At 39.0% G+C, this 19,886-nt stretch overlaps 2 annotated features.

The window, feature by feature from the left end:
- Positions 4,654 to 4,773: a silencer, noted in NCBI's record as "silent region_15629". NCBI's record gives its function as "represses an Ori minimal core promoter by ATAC-STARR-seq in GM12878 lymphoblastoid cells {active_cell/tissue: GM12878}" and the evidence as "EXISTENCE:reporter gene assay evidence [ECO:0000049][PMID:35858748]".
- Positions 9,211 to 9,505: a silencer, noted in NCBI's record as "tiled region #5470; K562 Repressive DNase matched - State 12:CtcfO". NCBI's record gives its function as "represses a minimal TATA promoter and a strong SV40 promoter by Sharpr-MPRA in K562 cells {active_cell/tissue: K562}" and the evidence as "EXISTENCE:reporter gene assay evidence [ECO:0000049][PMID:27701403]".

A 19,886-nucleotide genomic window follows, 5' to 3' on the forward strand; every position in this document is an offset into this window, starting at 1 on the left:
CATTTTAAAAATGTCATTTAAACTGATTTATGCAGGGAACATTTTGAACAATTATGCTGGCCGTTTAAAGTAGGCTCTGTCAACACTGAACTGAATTATTTCAATAGTTTATTTTCTCTCTGTGTGACTTTCTTTGTGCAGCTAGCCAAAATGGGGGGGATAAGATGGGTCCAACATTTACATTGAAATTATTCCAATTAGGACTTTGGCAGTAGAACTACAATCTCTCCAGCTGTGGGTTAAGTGTTTTAGAGATATTTGCATGTGGTCAAGGCATGCACATGGAATGCCTTTGGCAATGGGTAGAGGCCATCCAGAGCATGATAAATTAGACCGTGATCTTTATTCACTCTGGGTTCTGGACTAAAAATACTTTTGTCAGCTAGAGGACTTTACCATGTTCACTGGAGAACTGATGATATCAAAGTTATATCATACCCTTTTCCATTTATGACAATGCCATGCTTTTATCCAAATTGATGTAAAGGAATCTGGATTGTTAAGAATAGCAAAAAAAGTCTTAGATTCTGACTTCTGGTGAATACATTCATTACTCTTTGTAGTGGCTTAGAGCTCCTGATTTTAGGTGCACACAAGTGAATTTTATTTGATTTAATATATAATAACTGTACATTATGAAGATCTTGTCAACAATAGATCCTGCCACTGGAAAAACTCCTGAATAGGTAACATAATTGTAGGCAAATTACAATGTTTGTTAACAGTTCATTGTTTTCTTCGTGTTCCAAGTTGGTGTTTTTCAAAAAGTTTTCTTAAGGCTAATAAAGGAGAGTATATTTCAGACTTCACACTATTCAGTATGATAGCCACTAGCCACACGTAACTGTTAAGCACTGAAATGTAGCTAGTTTGGATTGAGATGTTCCTTAAGTGTAAAATACACCCTGGATTTCAATTTAAACATGTAATGTTTTATTTTTTATTGATTACATGCCAAATTGGTAACATTTTAGATATATTAAATATTATACACAATTAATTTAAAAAAAAATTTTTTTTTTTTTTTAGGCAAGGTTTCACCTGTTGCCCAGGCTGGAGGGCAATGGTGTAATCACAGCTCACTGTAGCCTCCACCTCATAGGTCCAGGTGGTTCTCCCACTTCAGCCTCCTGGGTAGCTGGGACTACAGGCGCACATCACCACACCTGGCTAATTATTTGTATTTTTTTTTACAGACAGTGTTTCATAATGTTGCCCAGGCTGGTCTCAAACTCCTGGGTTCAAGCAACCCATCCACCTCGGCTTACAAATTAATTTTAACCCTTTTTTACTTCAACTTTAGGCTTACTTTTTACTTTAACTTTAGAGATATTTAGGTAAGGGAAATGTGCTCATGAAAGAAAGAATATCTTTTTCCATTTTCCAAGCTATTCTGTGTTTTGGATGTTGGCCTGTTGTATTTAGTCTCCTCTCCTTATGCTAGAGACACTGACATACTATTCTGGAGTGAGGCAGGTGGAGAAAAATTTTAGAACTAGACTGGGGAGGAAAAAATAGACTTCATTTAAAATCATATTTTATTGTGAGAGATAAGGAACTATATAATAGCTCATCATTTCAATAGTATTATCGCTCTGAATAGTATATTACTACACTACCAATTTCAAGGCCTTTTCTATTTAATTTCTGAGATTCTATTCCTAGAAGATTAACTTGCAGACTAGCATTCTGAAAATATGCAAGGAATTATATGAATAATTGTTCAGTTGAATAGGAGAAAGGATTATATTTACTCATGTTTATGTAGTATGTTTTAAGTTAAACATGCTTATCTGTAGGAGGCGATTGGCAGCTAGTGACCTTAGACAGTTTACACTTTTAGTTTTGACCAAAATCATACAACATCTGGCATTTTTGTAAAACTAAACAGAGTTATAATTTGCAGCAGTAATAGAACTGATGATTTATTAGCTCAGTAAAATTTTCATTTGGATTTAAAGGGGGGGAGATGTCTGAATACCATAAAAAGGACATTTATAACCATCAAACCCCTTAAAATCTAATGAAGAAGTTGTGTTTCTGGCACAACCATGACTTGTAAACAATTCAAAATATGTAGTCGAAATGTCAAGACTAGTTATGGAAAAGAAAGGCTTTGACAGAGGAATTGTTTTTGGATAATTTCTTGCTTATATAGTAAATTAATTTTGAATTCAATATTATAAAATAATAAAACTGTTTACTCCAAATAACTTACTTTAAACCTTGTCATCAATTTATGCAGAGAATAATACCATAAAATGCCATTTCTATTAGATTTTTTATTCATTTCTTCATTCAATAAGTATTTATCTACCACAAAATATCACATGTACCTCATAAATATGTGCAACTATTATGTATCAATAAAAAAAATTTACCTATTATGTGCCCATAACTTAATACTGTTCTGTGTTAAAAATTCAGAACAGCAGAAGACATGTTCCCTGATGTCACATTGCTGTGAATCTGGTGGAGGAAATAGTCGTATAAGCTGAGAAGTCAAATCCAATTAGGGAACGGGTGAAAGAGGGAGCTGAGCCAAGCATAGTGGGCCCAGAGGAGAGCAAGTTACCTGCCTGGTGAGCAGGAGGGAGGGGATTCGAAGAAGGGGAGCCATTTGAAGCAGGTCTGGAAGGATGAGTAGGAGCTGGTCGTTCTTGCCAGGAGAGGAGTATAGTCAAAGCAAGGAGACATGAAAGAACTTAGTGTTGTGGGGAAAAGAGGGGTGAGAGAGTGGTGGGTTTAGACCTTGTATGTCACAGATGAATTTATGAGCTATCAACAATTTTATAAAAGACAGAAAACTTCATTTTCCTAAAAAAAAAAAAAAAATCCTGTCTGAGTGCGGTGGTTCATGCCTAAAATGCCAGCACTTTGGAAGGCTGAGGCAGGAGGATCGCTTGAGGCCAGGAGTTCAAGACCAGCTTAAGCAACAAAAAGAGACCCTCTCATGACAAAATATTTAAAAAGTAGCTTGGTGCGGTGGTGTGCACCTGTAGTCCCAGGTACTAGGGAGGCTGAAGTGGGAGGATCACTTGAGCCCAGGAGTTCGAGGCTGGGAGGCTGAGGTGGGCGGATCACCTAAGGTCAGGAGTCCGAGACCAGCCTGGCCAACATGGCGAAATCCCATCTCCACTAAAAATACAAAAATTAGCCTGATGTGGTGGTGCGTGCCTTTAGTCCCAGCTGCTCAGGAGGTTGAGGCAGGAGAATCCCTTGAACCCAGGAGGTGGAGGATGCAGTGAGCCGAGATCGCACCACTGCACTCCAGCCTGGACAATAGCACAAGACTCTGTCTCAAAAACAAACAAACAAACAAGATTTCTAATTAGATGCTATAGGTGGGCCTGTATTTGTGAATAGAGAATTTCATTTCTTTCTATGATGTACATTGTAGATTAAGAGTACATATAAACAGAAGGAAAATCCCTGTGTAGCAGGAGGAAAATAATTTCATAGAGAGCACAGTATGCTGAAGCTGAGCTTCCTGCTCCCAAGTAGCAAAGAAATGGTTACAAAGAAAAGGGCTCCAGTCAGATGGCTTATACAAGTGGCAACCAGCCAACATCTGCTTTCATTTATTTTTACATAGTAGTGAAGACCATAGAGTTTGGTGCCAGTCAAGCCTGGGTTAATGTGTTCTGGTTTAGCCATTCACTAATTGTGAACACATGGGAAAATCAATCAATTTCTTGAAACTTTTGTTTCCTTAAATGAAAAATGAGAATATTAATAATACTTCATAAAGTTGTGAGGATTAAATGAAATAATTTCAGTAAGACTCTTAGTACAGAACTTGGGACATATAATGTGTTTAATAAATGGTAGATATTATTATTAATTTTCTTTGTCAAGTTATTTTTAAAATCTTCACATTAGTTACTGATCATCTGGCACTATATATAGGACCTTTCCTCTTTGAGGCTAGAAGGTGATTCAAAAAGGGGAGGAATTGTGGAGCGCTGGCTTCAGATCTAATAGAAGTGACTGCCTATATCACTGGCTTTCTCTGATTCTCACTTTATTTATCTACAAAGTGTAAGATTAAATGATCTGTAGCTCTAATTCTGGATTATATTAGTTAGAATTAGTGTGGCTATTATCAAAACAGAAAAATAAACAACACAAAAGTTTATTTCTCTCTCACCAAAAAAGCTTAGGGCGTTGCCATTAGGAATGGTATGTCAGGTCTGTTCTGCAGAAACCTAAATGTCTTTCAGGGATACCCAAGGAATAGCCCCATTCTCTTCATTCAAGACAGTGGCTGGAGTGCCAGAGCTCCAGCCAGATGTGACATCTACACACCAGGCATCAGGGACAAAGTGACAAAGAATAATGGTCAAAGGGCTCACGGGCCATCTCATGAGGAAGGTGCCCCATGACATTTCTATGCACTAGACAGAATTACTCATAATACTGCTCCTGGCTCCAGGGGCAGTTGGAGAAATTTAGTCTTTATCCTGGAGAGTCACGTACCAGCAAAAACATATTACCATTGTTAAAGAAAAACTTCAGCCCAATTAAGTGTAAAGGAGTTTAACTGAGCAATGAAAGACTCACAGATTGGGCAGTCCTCAGATTCACAGCAGATTCAGGGAGACTCCAGAACAAATCTGTAGACAAAAAAAAAGGGAAGTGACCTACAGAAATCAGAAGTGAGGTACAGAAACAACTGGATTGGTTACAGCTCCACACTTCCCTTATTTGAACACAGTTTGAACGCTTATCAGTGTATGAGTAGTTGAAGTATGGCTCTGGGATTGGCCAAGACTTAGCTGTTGTCACAGGCTCATACTCCCAAGTTAGGTTTTCAAGCTTGTCTACCTATTAAGTTAGGTTGCAGGTTATCCACAAGAATTCAAATACAGAAGTGTGGAGTCCTTTTCAGGCCACATTTAGTTTGCTTTAACACCATAGAAAAAGTGGAGAAGAGGTATTGGGAGATAATTAACACTCTCTGTCACATAAAATATAGGACCAGTTATTGTTTCTGCTTTCAACAGGCCATGATGTAGTCACTGAAATCTGCATTGCTTTGGTACCTTTGGGCTAAACAGATCAGCTCTTCCTATGCAGTTGGGAAGTCTCACTACTGCATAACAAATAAGGATCCTAAGTGGAAATCACTTCAAATTTAGTGCCAACATCCTTTTGATCCAGAAATTTTTGTTTGAGAAACTTATTGAGCTCCTGTCCTCATTTTCTGCCCACCTAAAGCTGCTTCTCTACAGTGGTTCTCATCTTGGTTAAGGACAATTCCACTCTTCCAGTTGCTCCGCTCAGAAACCTTGGCATCAGCCTTGCATCCATCTCTCTTTTACCACATCCAATTCACCAGCAAATGCTTCTCACTCCTTTCATTGCTATCACCTTGTCTCTTACCTGTGTGATGGCAGAAGTTACCTAAGTCTTTACCTTTTCCTCCTTTTCTATCAATTCCCAGCATAGTTGCCAGAGTGATTCTGTAAATATGTAAGTCAAAAGGCTTATCTTTTAAGAAACACAATGAAGTATTTACAAGTAAAATTGTATGGTGTTTGGGATTCGCTTTAAAACACTGGAGCAAAAAACACTGGTGTGGAAAGAGATAAGAAAAATTGGCAAAATATTGATGAATGTTGAAGACAAGTTATGTATGCATAGGGCCTTATTGTTCCATCCTTTATAGTGCCCATAATAAAAAGATTTTTAAAAATGTCAGTCACTTTTAAAAGGCATAGAGTCCTTTCTCTTCTCCATTCATTTATTGCTCATTTAACACGTATTTCCTGAGTACCTACTATATGAATATGAATTATTACCTTCTGTCCTCATAGAGCTTACACCTTCAAGTCTTTACTAATATTTCACCTTCCCAGAGAGGACTTCCCTGGACACAATTTTTTTAAAAAATTGAGATAAAATTCATGTAACATAAAATTATTTTAAGGCTGGGCATGGTGGCTCACACCTGTAATCCTAGCACTTTATGAGGCAGAGGTGCGTGAATTTCTTGATCTCAGGAGTTCAAGACCAGCCTGGGCAACATACTGAGACCCTGTCTTTACAAAAAAATACAAAAATTAGCCTGGTGTGGCTAATTTTTGGTGGCGTGTGCCTGTAGTCCCAGCTACTTGGGAGGCTGAGGTGAGAGGATCACCTGAGCCCAGGAGGTGGAGGTTGCAGTGAGCTGAGATTGCACCACTGCACTCCAGCATGGGTGACAGAGCCAGACCCTGTCTTAAAAAAAAAAAATTATTTTAAAGTGTACAGCTTAGTGGTATGTAGGACATTGACAATGTTATACAACGATCACTTCTAACTAGTTCTAAAATGTTTTTTATCACCCCAAAAGAAAACACTCTGTCCCCATTAAGACAGTCGCTTACTCCATTTTAAATCATAACTGCCACACTCTATATCCTCTTTCCCTGCTTTAATTATTTCTGTGTAGAACTCATCACTATTGTATTAGTTTCCTAGTACTGCCGTATCAAAGTACTAAAAACGAGGTGGCTTAGAACAACAGAAATATATCATCTCATAGTTCTGCAGACTACCAGCATGAGATCAAAGCGTTAGCAGGGTTGGTTCCTTCTGAAGGTTTAAGAGAGAATCTGTCCATGCCTCTCTTCTAGCTTCTGGCTTTGTTGGCAATGTTGGTGTTCCCGGTTTGTAGGCCCGTCACCCTGATCTCTGCCCTCATATTCACATGGCATCTCCCTATGTGCGTGTATCACTGTGCATAGTTCCCCTTTTTATAAGGATACTAGTCATATTGGATTAGGAGTCCACCCTACTCCATATGATCTCATCTTACCTTAACTAATGAAACCTGCAATGACCCTATTTCCGAATAAGGTCACTCTCTTAGGCTCTAAGGGATAAGACTTCTACATAGGTATTTGGAGAGGACACAATTCAACCCATAACACCATGCAACATGCTATAGTTTTAACTAATTATTTTATTTTATTTTTGGAAATGGATTCTCACTCTGTTGCCCAGGCTGGAGTGCAGTGGTACAATCTCAGCTCACTGCAACCTCCACCTGCCAGGTTCAGACGATTCTCCTGCCTCAGCCTCCCGAGCAGCTGGGATTACAGGTGCCTACCATCACACCTAGCTAATTTTTGTATTTTTAGTAGAGATGGGGTTTCACCATGTTGGCCAGGCTGGTCTCTAACTCCTGACCTCAAGTGATTTGCCTGCCTTGGCCTCCCAAAGTGCTGGGATTACAGGCGTGAGCCACCACTCACGGCCAACACACTATATGTTTAAATTATCATGCTTACTGTTTGTTTTCCCCCAGTTGACAAGAGGGCAGGGATTGTCAGTCTTCCCAACCTAGCTGAAAAAAAAAAAAGGAATGAATGAACAACCAACAACTGGAACATGAGCTCCTTGAAGACAGGGAATTTGTCAGATTTGGATTCTGTTAAATCACCATCATCTACAACAGAGTGTGGCACAGAGTAGTCCCCCAATAAATGTTTGTTGGATGAACCAATGACATTTAGAGTCAGATAGACTAATGTTGCCTTTATTGAATAGACTCTATGATAAGCAATGAACATAGCAATCACTTATGGGGAAAAAAAGGACATCTACCTTTCTAAAAATCAGGACATAAGCACATTTTTACTGCAGGAAATGTTCTATTATCTTTATTCAGGACCGTTAAACATTATGTCAAATGACTAATATGCTAGAAAAACTGGGATTACTACCTTAACTCTTTCCTTAAGTTTCCAGAGATGAGATCTGAAATTTACTGCATTTCCCTGGATGAATTATTTTCTTTTTTATTTAAGTTATAAAAGTTATTATATTATTATATTATTATAAAACTCTATATTTAAGTTATATAATATCAGTTAGACAATTTTTTGGGTAGTAATTACAAACTTACTTTGTATAGAATAAATACAGTCAGGTGAGGTGGCTCATGCCTGTAATCCCAGTGTTTGGGGACACTGAGACAGGCAGATCACTTGAGCGCTGGGGTTCCAGAGCAGGTTGGGCAACATGGCAAAACCCCATCTCTACAAAAAATACAAAGACTAGGCAGGTGTGGTGGTGCATACCTGTAGTCCCGGCTACTTGGGAGGCTGAGGTGGGAGGATCATGTAAACTCAGGAGTCAGAGGTTGCATGCAGTGAGCCAAGGTAACGCCACTGCACTCCAACCTGAGCCAGACCCTGTCTCTAAATAAATAAATAAATGGAGGTAAGGTATTTAGTTCACCTGAAGGATAGTATGCTCAAGGAGACAAAATTTTGTCTAAATTCACAAGGACATTTTCAAGAAAAATAAACCATTTGTGCTTGGCAACATTGGGGGCCCTTTGATCTAATGTCCGTCTCGTTTAGTCATTCATAACTTGAATTATCTTGAAACACTCCACTGACTAACGTGAACCTGCTAGGAGGTGCATTCCAGGCCAGAGAATTGTAATTCATGCCCAAGTATTTCCACTGCTTAACTGTGTCATTTCACTTCTCTAAAGCAGTTGAAATCTTGAAATCACTGTAAAGGTGAGTGTAGTAATGTAATTTGCAAGAAGGATAAGGAGAAGAAGAAGAAAGAAAAAAGAGAAGAAGAGGAAGAGGAAGAAGAAGAAGATGAAGAGAAGGAGGAGGAGGAGGAGGAGGAAAGACAGAAAGACAAAATTGAGATTGCCAGATTAAAAAATTTTGTGTGCAGCTAGGCTCAGTGACTCATGCCTGTAATCCCAGCACTTACGGAGGCCCAGGCAGGAGAACTGTTTGAGGTTAGGTGTTCAAGACCAACCTGGGCAACATGGCAAGACCTCATTTCTACAAAAAAATAAAAATTGCCAAGTATGGTGATGGTGTCCCTGTGGTCTCAGCTACTTGGTAGGCTGAGGTGGGAGGATCGGCAGGAGATCGAGGCTGCCATGAACCATGATCACGCTGCTGCACTCCAGTCTCGGCGACAGAGTGAGACACTGACTCAAAAAGAAAAAAGTAGGGCCGGGTGCGGTGGCTCACACCTGTAATCCCAGCACTTTGGAAGGCCGAGGTAGGCAGATCACGAGGTCAGGAGATCGAGACCATCCTGCCTAACACGGTGAAACCCCGTCTCTACTAAAAATACAAAAAATTAGCCAGGCCTGGTGGCAGGTGCCTGTAGTCCCAGCTAGTCTGGAGGCTGAGGCAGGAGAATCGCTTGAACCTGGGAGGCGGAGGTTGCAGTGAGCCGAGATCGCGCCACTGCACTCCAGCCTGGGTGACAGAGCGAGACTCTGTCTCAAAAAAAAAAAAAAAAGAAAAAATTTTTGTGTGATAACATGGGAATTATAACAAAGTTCAAGAAGCTAACAGCCCAAATCAGTAATTCCATTGAGATCAGAGGGCTGACAGCAGATGGCGCTATTCCATCTTGACTTAGCCATTGTGCAAGCAACCACCTTGGAAACCACTGAAAGGCAGCGGCATCAGTCTCCTTTTTTAGCATCGGAACTTGGACAGGTGACCCAGAGTTAAAACTTTTAAATGAAGGAATATTTTATCCTAGTATTTTATTTTCATAAAAAAGAACTAACGCAGTGGCTTATGCCTGTAATCCCAGCACTTTGGGAGGCTTAAGCGGGTGGATCACTTGAGGTCAGGAGTTCGAGACCAGCCTGGCCAACATGGTGAAACCCCGTCTTTACTAAAAATAGAAAAATTAGCCGGACGTAGTAGTGCGCGCCTGTAATCCCAGCTACTCAGGAGGCTGAGGCACGAGAATAGCTTGAACTCAGGAAGCGGAGGTTGCAGTGAGCCAAGATCCTGCCACTGCACACCAGCTTGAAGCATAGAAAAATTAAAGTACTGAAGTAGATTAAAATGGGAAAATGTGTTAGAAGTTATTGTGTGGGTGTTTTCCTACCATGCCTGGAAAGCTTATTCTTGTTTGGCATTTAATTAATTCAGTTCACTAAAAAATAATTGAGTGCTCACATGTATCCAGCACAGTTATGGTTGCTTGGTGTACATCCATGAACAAAAAAGACAAAGATCCCTGTATTTGTGGAGCTTCTATTGCATCAGGGAGAGAAAGACAATAAAAATAATAAATAAGAAAATAGTACAGTGTGTTAGAAGGGGGTAAGTGACACTTTGGAAAAATAAAGGCAGGGCATGGTAAGGGGGCTCAGGCATCCTGGGCAGTGGGGAGGGTTTGATTTTGTATAAGGTATTTTATTCATTGAGGAGATGACATTTCAACAAAAATATAAAGGATGTAAGGGAGTTAGCTAGGTAAATATCCAGGGAAAGAGGAGTTCCTGCAGAGGGACTAGACTTTACAAAGACCTCAGTTTGGGAGCATGTTTGGTTTGTTTAGAGAACTCAACAAGATGGTCAATGTGGCTGCAGTGGAGTGAATGAGAAGGGGAGCAGGAGAAGATGAGGTCAGAGAGGTGAAATAGCGGGCAGATCCTGGAGGCTTTGCAAACTATTCTAAGAAATCGAGTGCCATTGTCAAGTCTTGAACAAAGGAGTAATAAAATCTGATTTATGGCTTTTTTCTTCTTTTTTTTTTGAGATGGAGTCTCACTCTGTTGCCTAGGCTGGAGTGCAATGACATGATCTCGGTTGACTACAACATCCGCCTCTCGGGTTCAAGTGATTCTCCTGCCTCGGCCTCCCGAGTAGCTGGGATTACAGGCATCCGCCACCATGCCAAGGTAATTTTTATATTTTTAGTAGAGATGGGGTTTCACCAGTTTGGCCAGGCTGGTTTTGAACTCCTGAATTCAGGTGATCCACCTGCCTCGGCCTCCCAAAGTGCTGGGATTACAGGCATGAGCCACCGTGTCTGGCCTGGTTTATGTTTTTAAAAGATCATGCAGTCCTGTGATAAGAATAGTAGACTTTAGAGGGTCAAACATAGAAGTTGGGAAGCTAGAGAAGGGGCTATTACAGCAGTCCAGACAAAAGCCCAGAGTGGCTCAAACCAGGTATTAATGGAAATAACAATGGAGGTATCAGGAAGTAGCTGGATTCTGGCTATTTATTTTGACATTAGAGTTGACAGATTTTTTTTTTTTTCTGATGGATTGGATATTAGATGTGGGGATAAGAGAGGTGTCAAGAAAGATTTGAAATCTTTTGCCCCCAATTAACTGGAATGACGGGGAAGACTGTGGGAGGAGTGAGTTTTGAAACACAAATTGGGTGTTGTGGGCTGGGCGCGGTGGCTCACGCCTGTAATCCCAGCACTTTGGGAGGCCAAGGCAGGCGGATCACGAGGTCAGGAGTTTGAGACCAGCCTGACCAACATGGTGAAACCCCATTTCTACTAAAAATACAAAAAATTAGCCGGGCCTGGTGGCGCACGCCTGTAATCCCAGCTACCTGGGAGGCTGAGGCAGGAGAATTGCTTGAATCCAGGAGACAGAGGTTGCAGTGAGCCGAGATCGCGCCATTGCATTCCAGCCTGGGCAACAGAATGAGACTCTGTCTCAAATCAATAAATAAATAAATAAATAAATAAATAAATAAATAAATAAATTGGGTCTTGCAAGTTGAACACATTGATTTTGAGATGTCTACCATCAACTGCAATAGAAAGGTTATGGAAAGTAAGAGTTTGGAAGGAAAGGCCAGGGCCATAGTTTTGGACATACTGAGTTTGGATGTCTATTAGCCATCAAAGTGGCAAGAAAAAGCTTCTGAAAATTTTTGAATGTGAAATTGATAATCCGTTTCCATCAGTGTAGGACACCTCAAAACAGCAAAGACTGGACTAGAGAAAATTATATAACTAGAGGCTATTATAACCTGGGCTGGATAGGAAGAGCCTGAACTTGAACTGGCAGTAGACGTGGAGATGGGCAGAAGGACAGTGACTATCCTGCAGGCAGAATGTCCAGGACTTAGTGGCTGGTTCGACTTGTTGGGTGAGAAGGAGGTAAAATGCCTGATTTATGGGAAGTGGTTAATGACAGTAAAAGAGAAGAGATGAATTTCAGAGGACGTCTTTTTCTCTGTGTTTTTATTTGTATATTTCTTCCTAAATTCTCTTGTATCCTGGAAATTAAAACAGAAAATTATCATTGTATCTTTTCTATAAAGTCTCAAAGTCAAGGGAGGAAACTGGGAAATACACCCTATCAGATTTAAGAGAAAAAGACCTCTGATACTGTCTTTCCTCCAATGATTCTTTAAAAAAATCAATTTTAAAAATTGATAAAGAAAATTTGTATATATTTATGGTACAACATGATGTTTTGAAATATGCATACATTGTGGAATGGATAAATGGAGCTAATTAACATATACATTACCTTATATAATTATCAATTTTTGTGGTGAGAACACTTAAAATCTACTTTCAGCAATTATCAAGAATACAGTACATTGTTATTAACTGTAGTCACCATGTTTTTCAATAGGTCTCTTGAACTTATTTCCCCTAACTGAAATTTTGTTATCTTTTGACCAATGTCTCTCCAACCTCCTACTCCTTCAACCCCCCAACCCCTGATAACCATCATTCTACTCTCTGCTTCTACGAGTTTGACTTTCTTAGATTCCACGCATAAGTGAGACCATGCAGTATTTATCTTTCTGTTCCTGGCTTATTTTATGTAACATCATATCCTCCAGGTTCATCCATGTGGTTGCAAATGACAAGATTTCTTTCCTTTAAAAGGCTAAATAGTATTTCATTGTGTCTATGTATCACATTTCCTTCATCTACTCATTCATTGATGGACACTTATGTTGGTTTTATATCTTGGCTATTGTGAATAAAGTTGCAGTGAACATGAGGGTGCAGATACCTCTGTAACATACTGATTTCATTTCCTTTGGATATATACCCAGTAGTGGAATTGCTGGATCGTATGGTACTTCCATTTTTACTTTTTTGAGGGAGCCTGATAATGTTTTTTTATAATGGCTATACTACATGATTTTTAAAAAATTGCACTTGAGCCATGTATATTTTATTATCACAAGAAATTCACATTGCTTTTTTAAGACTAAGTAACTCATGCTGCTTTTGGAAATGAGTAACATAGGGAATGCATCTTCTACCAAGAAAGCAGGAAATAGCTCAAGATCAACTCTGTGGAGAAGAAACGGCAACAGAAACTAGTCCACGTTGGCAGTTAGGTATTTGCCCCTTCAATGCATATATTTGCAAAATACCATCTGCCTTTCTAATTTGCACCTTTCCTGCAATAATTGGTAATGCCAATGTCAGAATATAAGACAGAACAAGGGTGACATTCTGCTGACATTTATAGACATTACCCGAGGAAGGGAGCTCTTGTCTTTCAGACACATTTCCAATTTACAAGGTATTTTAAATTGTAAATTGTAACCAAAGGTTATCATATTAGTTATTATTCAACACATATTCACATCTACTCTGTGATAGGCACTATTCCAGGATGTAACCAGGCAGAATTTTAATATGCATATTTCACTAAGCCAAGGACACTTGGCTGTTGGTGCTTGCTTGATCTTAGTAAATGGTGTCAAGGAAAGGCATTTAAACAATTACATCAGCACTGCCTCTGGCTGAAAGATATTGTAAGATACCATGGATTACAGGATGCATCCTGATTCTATAAGTTAAAATGTGAACAAAACAGGTACATCTTAAAAACTGATGAAATAGGTAGTAGGTAACATTTATTGAGTGCTAACTCTGTGCCTGGCACTGTGCTAAAGGCTTAGCATGCACTGATTTTAGTCTAGAGCATTTGCATTCAGAATAAAATTTTGTCCAAGCAACAATTTTCCCTAAGAATATGGGAGATGCCTGCTTTACAGTTTTGTAATGAAATCACTGAATCTTACAGTTTGCCTACTTGCAGCTTAGAAATGCAAGGTTTATTTTCTTTCATAACTTTACTTATTGAGAACCCTTAAATTCTAGGGCCTGAGTTTTCAGCAATAAATTTATTAAATAATTGTGTAAATTAAATTCAACCAATGTTTCTTTACTGCTTATTTTATGATAAGAATAATAGTAGATACTTTAAGATTTTGCCAGCAAAATCTTAAAATTCAGTGGAAGCACTGACATATCACTAGAATCTGTGACACCTATAGGTTGTAAGTATAAGTCACACGTGGGCATAGAAAAGAAAAACAATGGGCATGGGGTTGGGGAGGGACATCAGAGAAATCTTGACGGAGACAATGGCAGTTGAGTTGGTCATCATGAACAAGCAAGTGGAAAACCTGTGTGATCAAATACCTTTTAAATCCAATCAAATATTAGAGGGCCAAAAGCCAAGGGCCATATATATGACATTGGGTACACTTTCTTGAATTGAGAAGTAAACACCAAGGAGCATTCTGCAATACAGAAATTAAAGAAACAACTAGCAGCTAACATTGTAGACAGCTACATTGTTCTTGTGAGCCCGTATGAACTAGTCTGAACTTTAATGATCAGGAGTGGACACTTTGCGGATTTCTTTCAACTCGGAAGAAGGAAGAGAAGAGGCAATTGCTCAGACTACCAGACAAAAGCCAAGTTGGCCCCTGAGTGGTCCTGAATAAGGTCAAACTTCAACTTTCTCAGAAGCCATAGAACAATATTTTAGACATGATTTCTGATTAAAATCTATGCAATTCTAGACTCCACTGAAAATTCCGTACCATTCTGTAAAGTATAAATATGTTTTATTAACATCAATTCTGTTTGTATAAGTTCCTCTGATCAGAAAAAGCGGAAGATAATTTTTTTCTAAGGTCCAGAGACCCTCAGTAGGGTTTAAAAATCTTAAATTAAAAAAAAAATTAAAATAAGTATAGATTCACAGAAAGTTTCAAAAATAGTACAGATGGGTCTTATGTACCCTTCACTTATTTCTCCCAATGGTTCTATCTTACATGATTATAGTATAATATCAAAACCAGAAACATGGCGTTGGTACAAATGTATTATGTAGCTCCATGTCATTTTATTACATGTGAGGATTTGTATAACCAACATCAAAGTCAAATTCCATCCCACACAGGTGTCCCCTGTGCCTTTATAGTGAAACTCACCCCACTATCCACCAGTATCCCTAACACCTGGAAACCACTATTTTTCATCCCTACAATTTTGTCATACAGAGAATGTTATATGAATGGAGTCATACAGCATATGACCTTCTAAGACGGAGCTTTCCACTGAGCACAATATCCTCTTGATCCATTGAAGTCATTGCATGTATCAGTCAATAGTTTGTATCTTTTTATTTTGAGTAGTTTTCCATAGTATGGTTGTACCAATATTTGTGTTAACATTCATCTATTGAGGGGCATTTTTGTTGTTTTCAGTTTTTAAGTGTTACGAATAAAGCTGCTATGAACAATTACTTACAGTTTTTTTTGTGTGTGGGCATCAGTTTTTATTTCTCTGGGGTAAATGCCCAAGAATGCAATTGCTGGGTTGTATGGCAAGTGCATGCTTAGCTTTTGAGAAACTGCCAAATGATCATCCAGAGTAGCTATCTCATTTTATGAGAAATATATGCGGAAAGACCATTTTTATTTATTTTATTTATTTATTTATTTATTTATTTATTTATTTATTTATTTATTTATTTTACTTTAAGTTTTAGGGTACATGTGCACAACGTGCAGGTTAGTTACATGTGTATACATGTGCCATGTTGGTGTGCTGCACCCATTAACTCATCATTTAACATTAGGTATATCTCCTAATGCTATCCCTCCCACCTCCCCCACCCCACAACAGGACCCTGTGTGTGATGTTCCCTTTCTTGTGTCCAAGTGTTCTCATTGTTCAATTTCCACCTATGAGTGAGAACATGTGGTGTTTGGTTTTTTGTCCTTGCGATAGTTTGCTGAGAATGATGGTTTCCAGCTTCATCCATGTCCCTACAAAGGACATGAACTCTTCATTTTTTATGGCTGCATAGTATTCCATGGTGTATATGTGCCACATTTTCTTAATCCAGTCTATCATTGTTAGACATTTGGGTTGGTTCCAAGTCTTTGCTATTGTGAATAGTGCCGCAATAAACATATGTGTGCATGTGTCTGTATAGTAGCATGATTTATAATCCTTTGGGTATATACCCAGTAATGGGATAGCTGGGTCAAATGGTATTTCTAGTTCTAGATCCCTGAGGAATCGCCACACTGACTTCCACGATGGTTGAACTAGTTTACAGTCCCACCAACAGTGTAAAAGTGTTCCTATTTCTCCACATCCTCTCCAGCACCTGTTGCTTCCTGACTTTTTAATGATTGCCATTCTAACTGGTGTGAGATGGTATCTCATTGTGGTTTTGATTTGCATTTCTCTGATGGCCAGTGATGATGAGCATTTTTTCATGTGTCTTTTGGCTGCATAAATGGCTTCTTTTCACAAGTGTCTGTTCATATCCTTCGCCCACTTTTTGATGGGGCTGTTTGTTTTTTTCTTGTAAATTTGTTTGAGTTCATTGTAGATTCTGGGTATTAGCCCTTTGTCAGATGAGTAGATTGCAAAAATTTTCTCCCATTCTGTAGGTTGCCTGTTCACTCTGATGGTAGTTTCTTTTGCTGTGTGGAAGCTCCTGAGTTTAATTAGATCCCATTTGTCAATTTTGGCTTTTGTTGCCATTGCTTTTGGTGTTTTAGACATGAAGTCCTTGCCCATGCCTATGTCCTGAATGGTAATGCCTAGGTTTTCTTCTAGGGTTTTTATGGTTTTAGGTCTCATATTTAAGTTTTTAACCCATCGTGAATTAATTTTTGTATAAGGTGTAAGGAAGAGATCCAGTTTCAGCTTTCTCCATAAGGCTAGCCAGTGTTCCCAGCACCATTTATTAAATAGGGGATCCTTTCCCCATTGCTTGTTTTTGTCAGGTTTGTCAAAGATCAGATAGTTGTAGATATGTGGCATTATTTCTGAGGGCTCTGTTCTGTTCCATTGGTCTATATCTCTGTTTTGGAACCAGTACCATGCTGTTTTGGTTACTGTAGCCTTGTAGGATAGTTTGGAGTCAGGTAGTGTGATGCCTCCAGCTGTGTTCTTTTGGCTTAGGATTGACTTGGCAATGTGGGCTCTTTTTTGGTTGCATATGAACTTTAAAGTAGTTTTTTCCAATTCTGTGAAGAAAGTCATTGGTAGCTTGATGGGGTTGGCATTGAATCTATAAATTACTTTGGGCAGTATGGCCATTTTCACGATATTGATTCTTCCTACCCATGAGCATGGAATGTTCTTCCATTTGTTTGTATCCTCTTTTATTGTATTGAGCAGTGGTTTGTAGTTCTCCTTGAAGAGGTCCTTCACGTCCCTTGTAAGTTGGATTCCTAGGTATTTTATTCTCTTTGAAGCAATTGTGAATGGGAGTTCACTCATGATTTGGCTCTCTGTTTGTCTGTTATTGGTGTATAAGAATGCTTGTGATTTTTGTACATTGATTTTGTATCCTGGGACTTTGTTGAAGTTGCTTATCAGCTTAAGGAGATTTTGGGCTGAGACGATGGGGTTTTCTAGATATACAATCATGTCATCTGCAAACAGGGACAATTTGACTTCCTCTTTTCCTAATTGAATACCCTTTATTTCCTTCTCCTGCCTGATTACCCCGGCCAGAACATCCAACACTATGTTGAATAGGAGTGGTGAGAGAGGGCATCCCTGTCTTGTGCCAGTTTTCAAAGGGAATGCTTCCAGTTTTTGCCCATTCAGTATGATATTGGCTGTGGGTTTGTCATAGGTAGCTCTTAATATTTTGAGATACATCCCATCAATACCTAATTTATTGAGAGTTTTTAGCATGAAGGGTTGTTGAATTTTGTCAAAGGCCTTTTCTGCATCTATTGAGATAATCATGTGGTTTTTGTCGTTGGTTGTGTTTATATGCTGGATTACGTTTACTGATTTGCGTATGTTGAACCAGCCTTGCATCTCAGGGATGAAGCCCATTTTATCATGGTGGATAAGCTTTTTGATGTGCTGCTGGATTTGGTTTGCCAGTATTTTATTGAGGATATTTGCATTGATGTTCATCAGGGATATTGGTCTAAAATTCTCTTTTTTTGTTGTGTCTCTGCCAGGCTTTGGTATCAGGATGATGCTGGCTTCATAAAATGAGTTAGGGAGGATTCCCTCTTTTTCTATTGATTGGAATAGTTTCAGAAGGAATGGTACCAGCTCCTCCTTGTACCTCTGGTAGAATTCAGCTGTGAATCCATCTGGTCCTGGACTTTTTTTGGGTGGTAAGCTATTAATTATTGCCTCAATTTCAGAGCCTGTTATTGGTCTATTCAGAGATTTAACTTCCTCCTGGTTTAGTCTTGGGAGGGTGTACGTGTCAAGGAATTTATCCATTTCTTCTAGATTTTCTAGTTTATTTGCATAGAGGTGTTTATAGTATTCTCTGATGGTAGTTTGTATTCTGTGGGATCAGTGGTGATATCCCCTTTATCATTTTTTATTGCGTCTATTTCATTCTTCTCTCTTTTCTGTTTATTAGTCTTGCTAGCAGTCTATCAATTTTGTTGATCTTTTCAAAAAACCAGCTCCTGGATTCATTGGTTTTTTGAAGGTTTTTTTGTGTCTCCATTTCCTTCAGTTCTGCTCTGATCTTAGTTATTTCTTGCCTTCTGCTAGCTTTTGAATGTGTTTGCTCTTGCTTCTCTAATTCTTTTAATTGTGATGTTAGGGTGTGAATTTTAGATCTTTCCTGCTTTCTCTTGTGGGCATTTAGTGCTATAAATTTCCCTCTACACACTGCTTTAAATGTGTCCCAGATATTCTGATATGTTGTGTCTTTGTTCTCGTTGGTTTCAAAGAACATCTTTATTTCTGTCTTCATTTTGTTATGTACCCAGTAGTCATTCAGGAGCAGGTTGTTCAGTTTCCATGTAGTTGAGCGGTTTTGAGTGAGTTTCTTAAACCTGAGTTCTAGTTTGATTGCACTGTGGTCTGAGAGACAGTTTGTTAAAATTTCTGTTCTTTTACATTTGCTGAGGGGTGCTTTACTTCCAACTATGTGGTCAATTTTGGAATAGGTGTGATGTGGTGCTGAAAAGAATGTATATTCTGTTTATTTGGTTGGGAGAGCTCTGTAGATGTCTATTAGGTCCACTTGGTGCAGAGCTGAGTTCAGTTCCTGGATATCCTTGTTAACTTTCCGTCTTGTTGATCTGTCTAATGTTGACAGTGGGGTGTTAAAGTCTCCCATTATTATTGTGTGGGAGTCTAAGTCTCTTTGTAGGTCTCTAAGGACTTGCTTTATGAATCTGGGTGCTCCTGTATTGGGTGCGTATATATTTAGGATAGTTAGCTCTTCTTGTTGAATTGATCCCTTTACCATTATGTAATGGCCTTCTTTTGATCTCTGTTGGTTTAAAGTCTGTTTTATCAGAGACTAGGATTGCAACCCCTGCCTTTTTTTGTTTTCCATTTGCTTGGTAGATCTTCCTCCATCCCTTTATTTTGAGCCTATGTGTGTCTCTGCACATGAGATGGGTTTCCTGAATACAGCACACTGATGGGTCTTGACTCTTTATCCAATTTGCCAGGCTGTGTCTTTTAATTGGAGCATTTAGTCCATTTACATTTAAGGTTAATATTGTTATGTGTGAATTTGATCCTGTCATTATGATGTTAGCTGGTTATTTTGCTCGTTAGTTGATGCAGTTTCTTCGCAGCCTTGATGGTCTTTACATTTTGGCATGATTTTGCAGTGGCTGGTACTGGTTGTTCCTTTCCATGTTTAGTGCTTCCTTCAGGAGCTCTTTTAGGGCAGGCCTGGTGGTGACAAAATCTCTCAGCATTTGCTTGTCTGTAAAGTATTTTATTTCTCCTTCACTTATGAAGCTTAGTTTGGCTGGATATGAAATTCTGGGTTGAAAATTCTTTTCTCTAAGAATATTGAATATTGGCCCCCACTCTCTTCTGGCTTGTAGAGTTTC

Source organism: Homo sapiens, chromosome 4 (genome assembly GCF_000001405.40).
Source record: "Homo sapiens chromosome 4, GRCh38.p14 Primary Assembly".
NCBI lineage: Eukaryota > Metazoa > Chordata > Mammalia > Primates > Hominidae > Homo > Homo sapiens.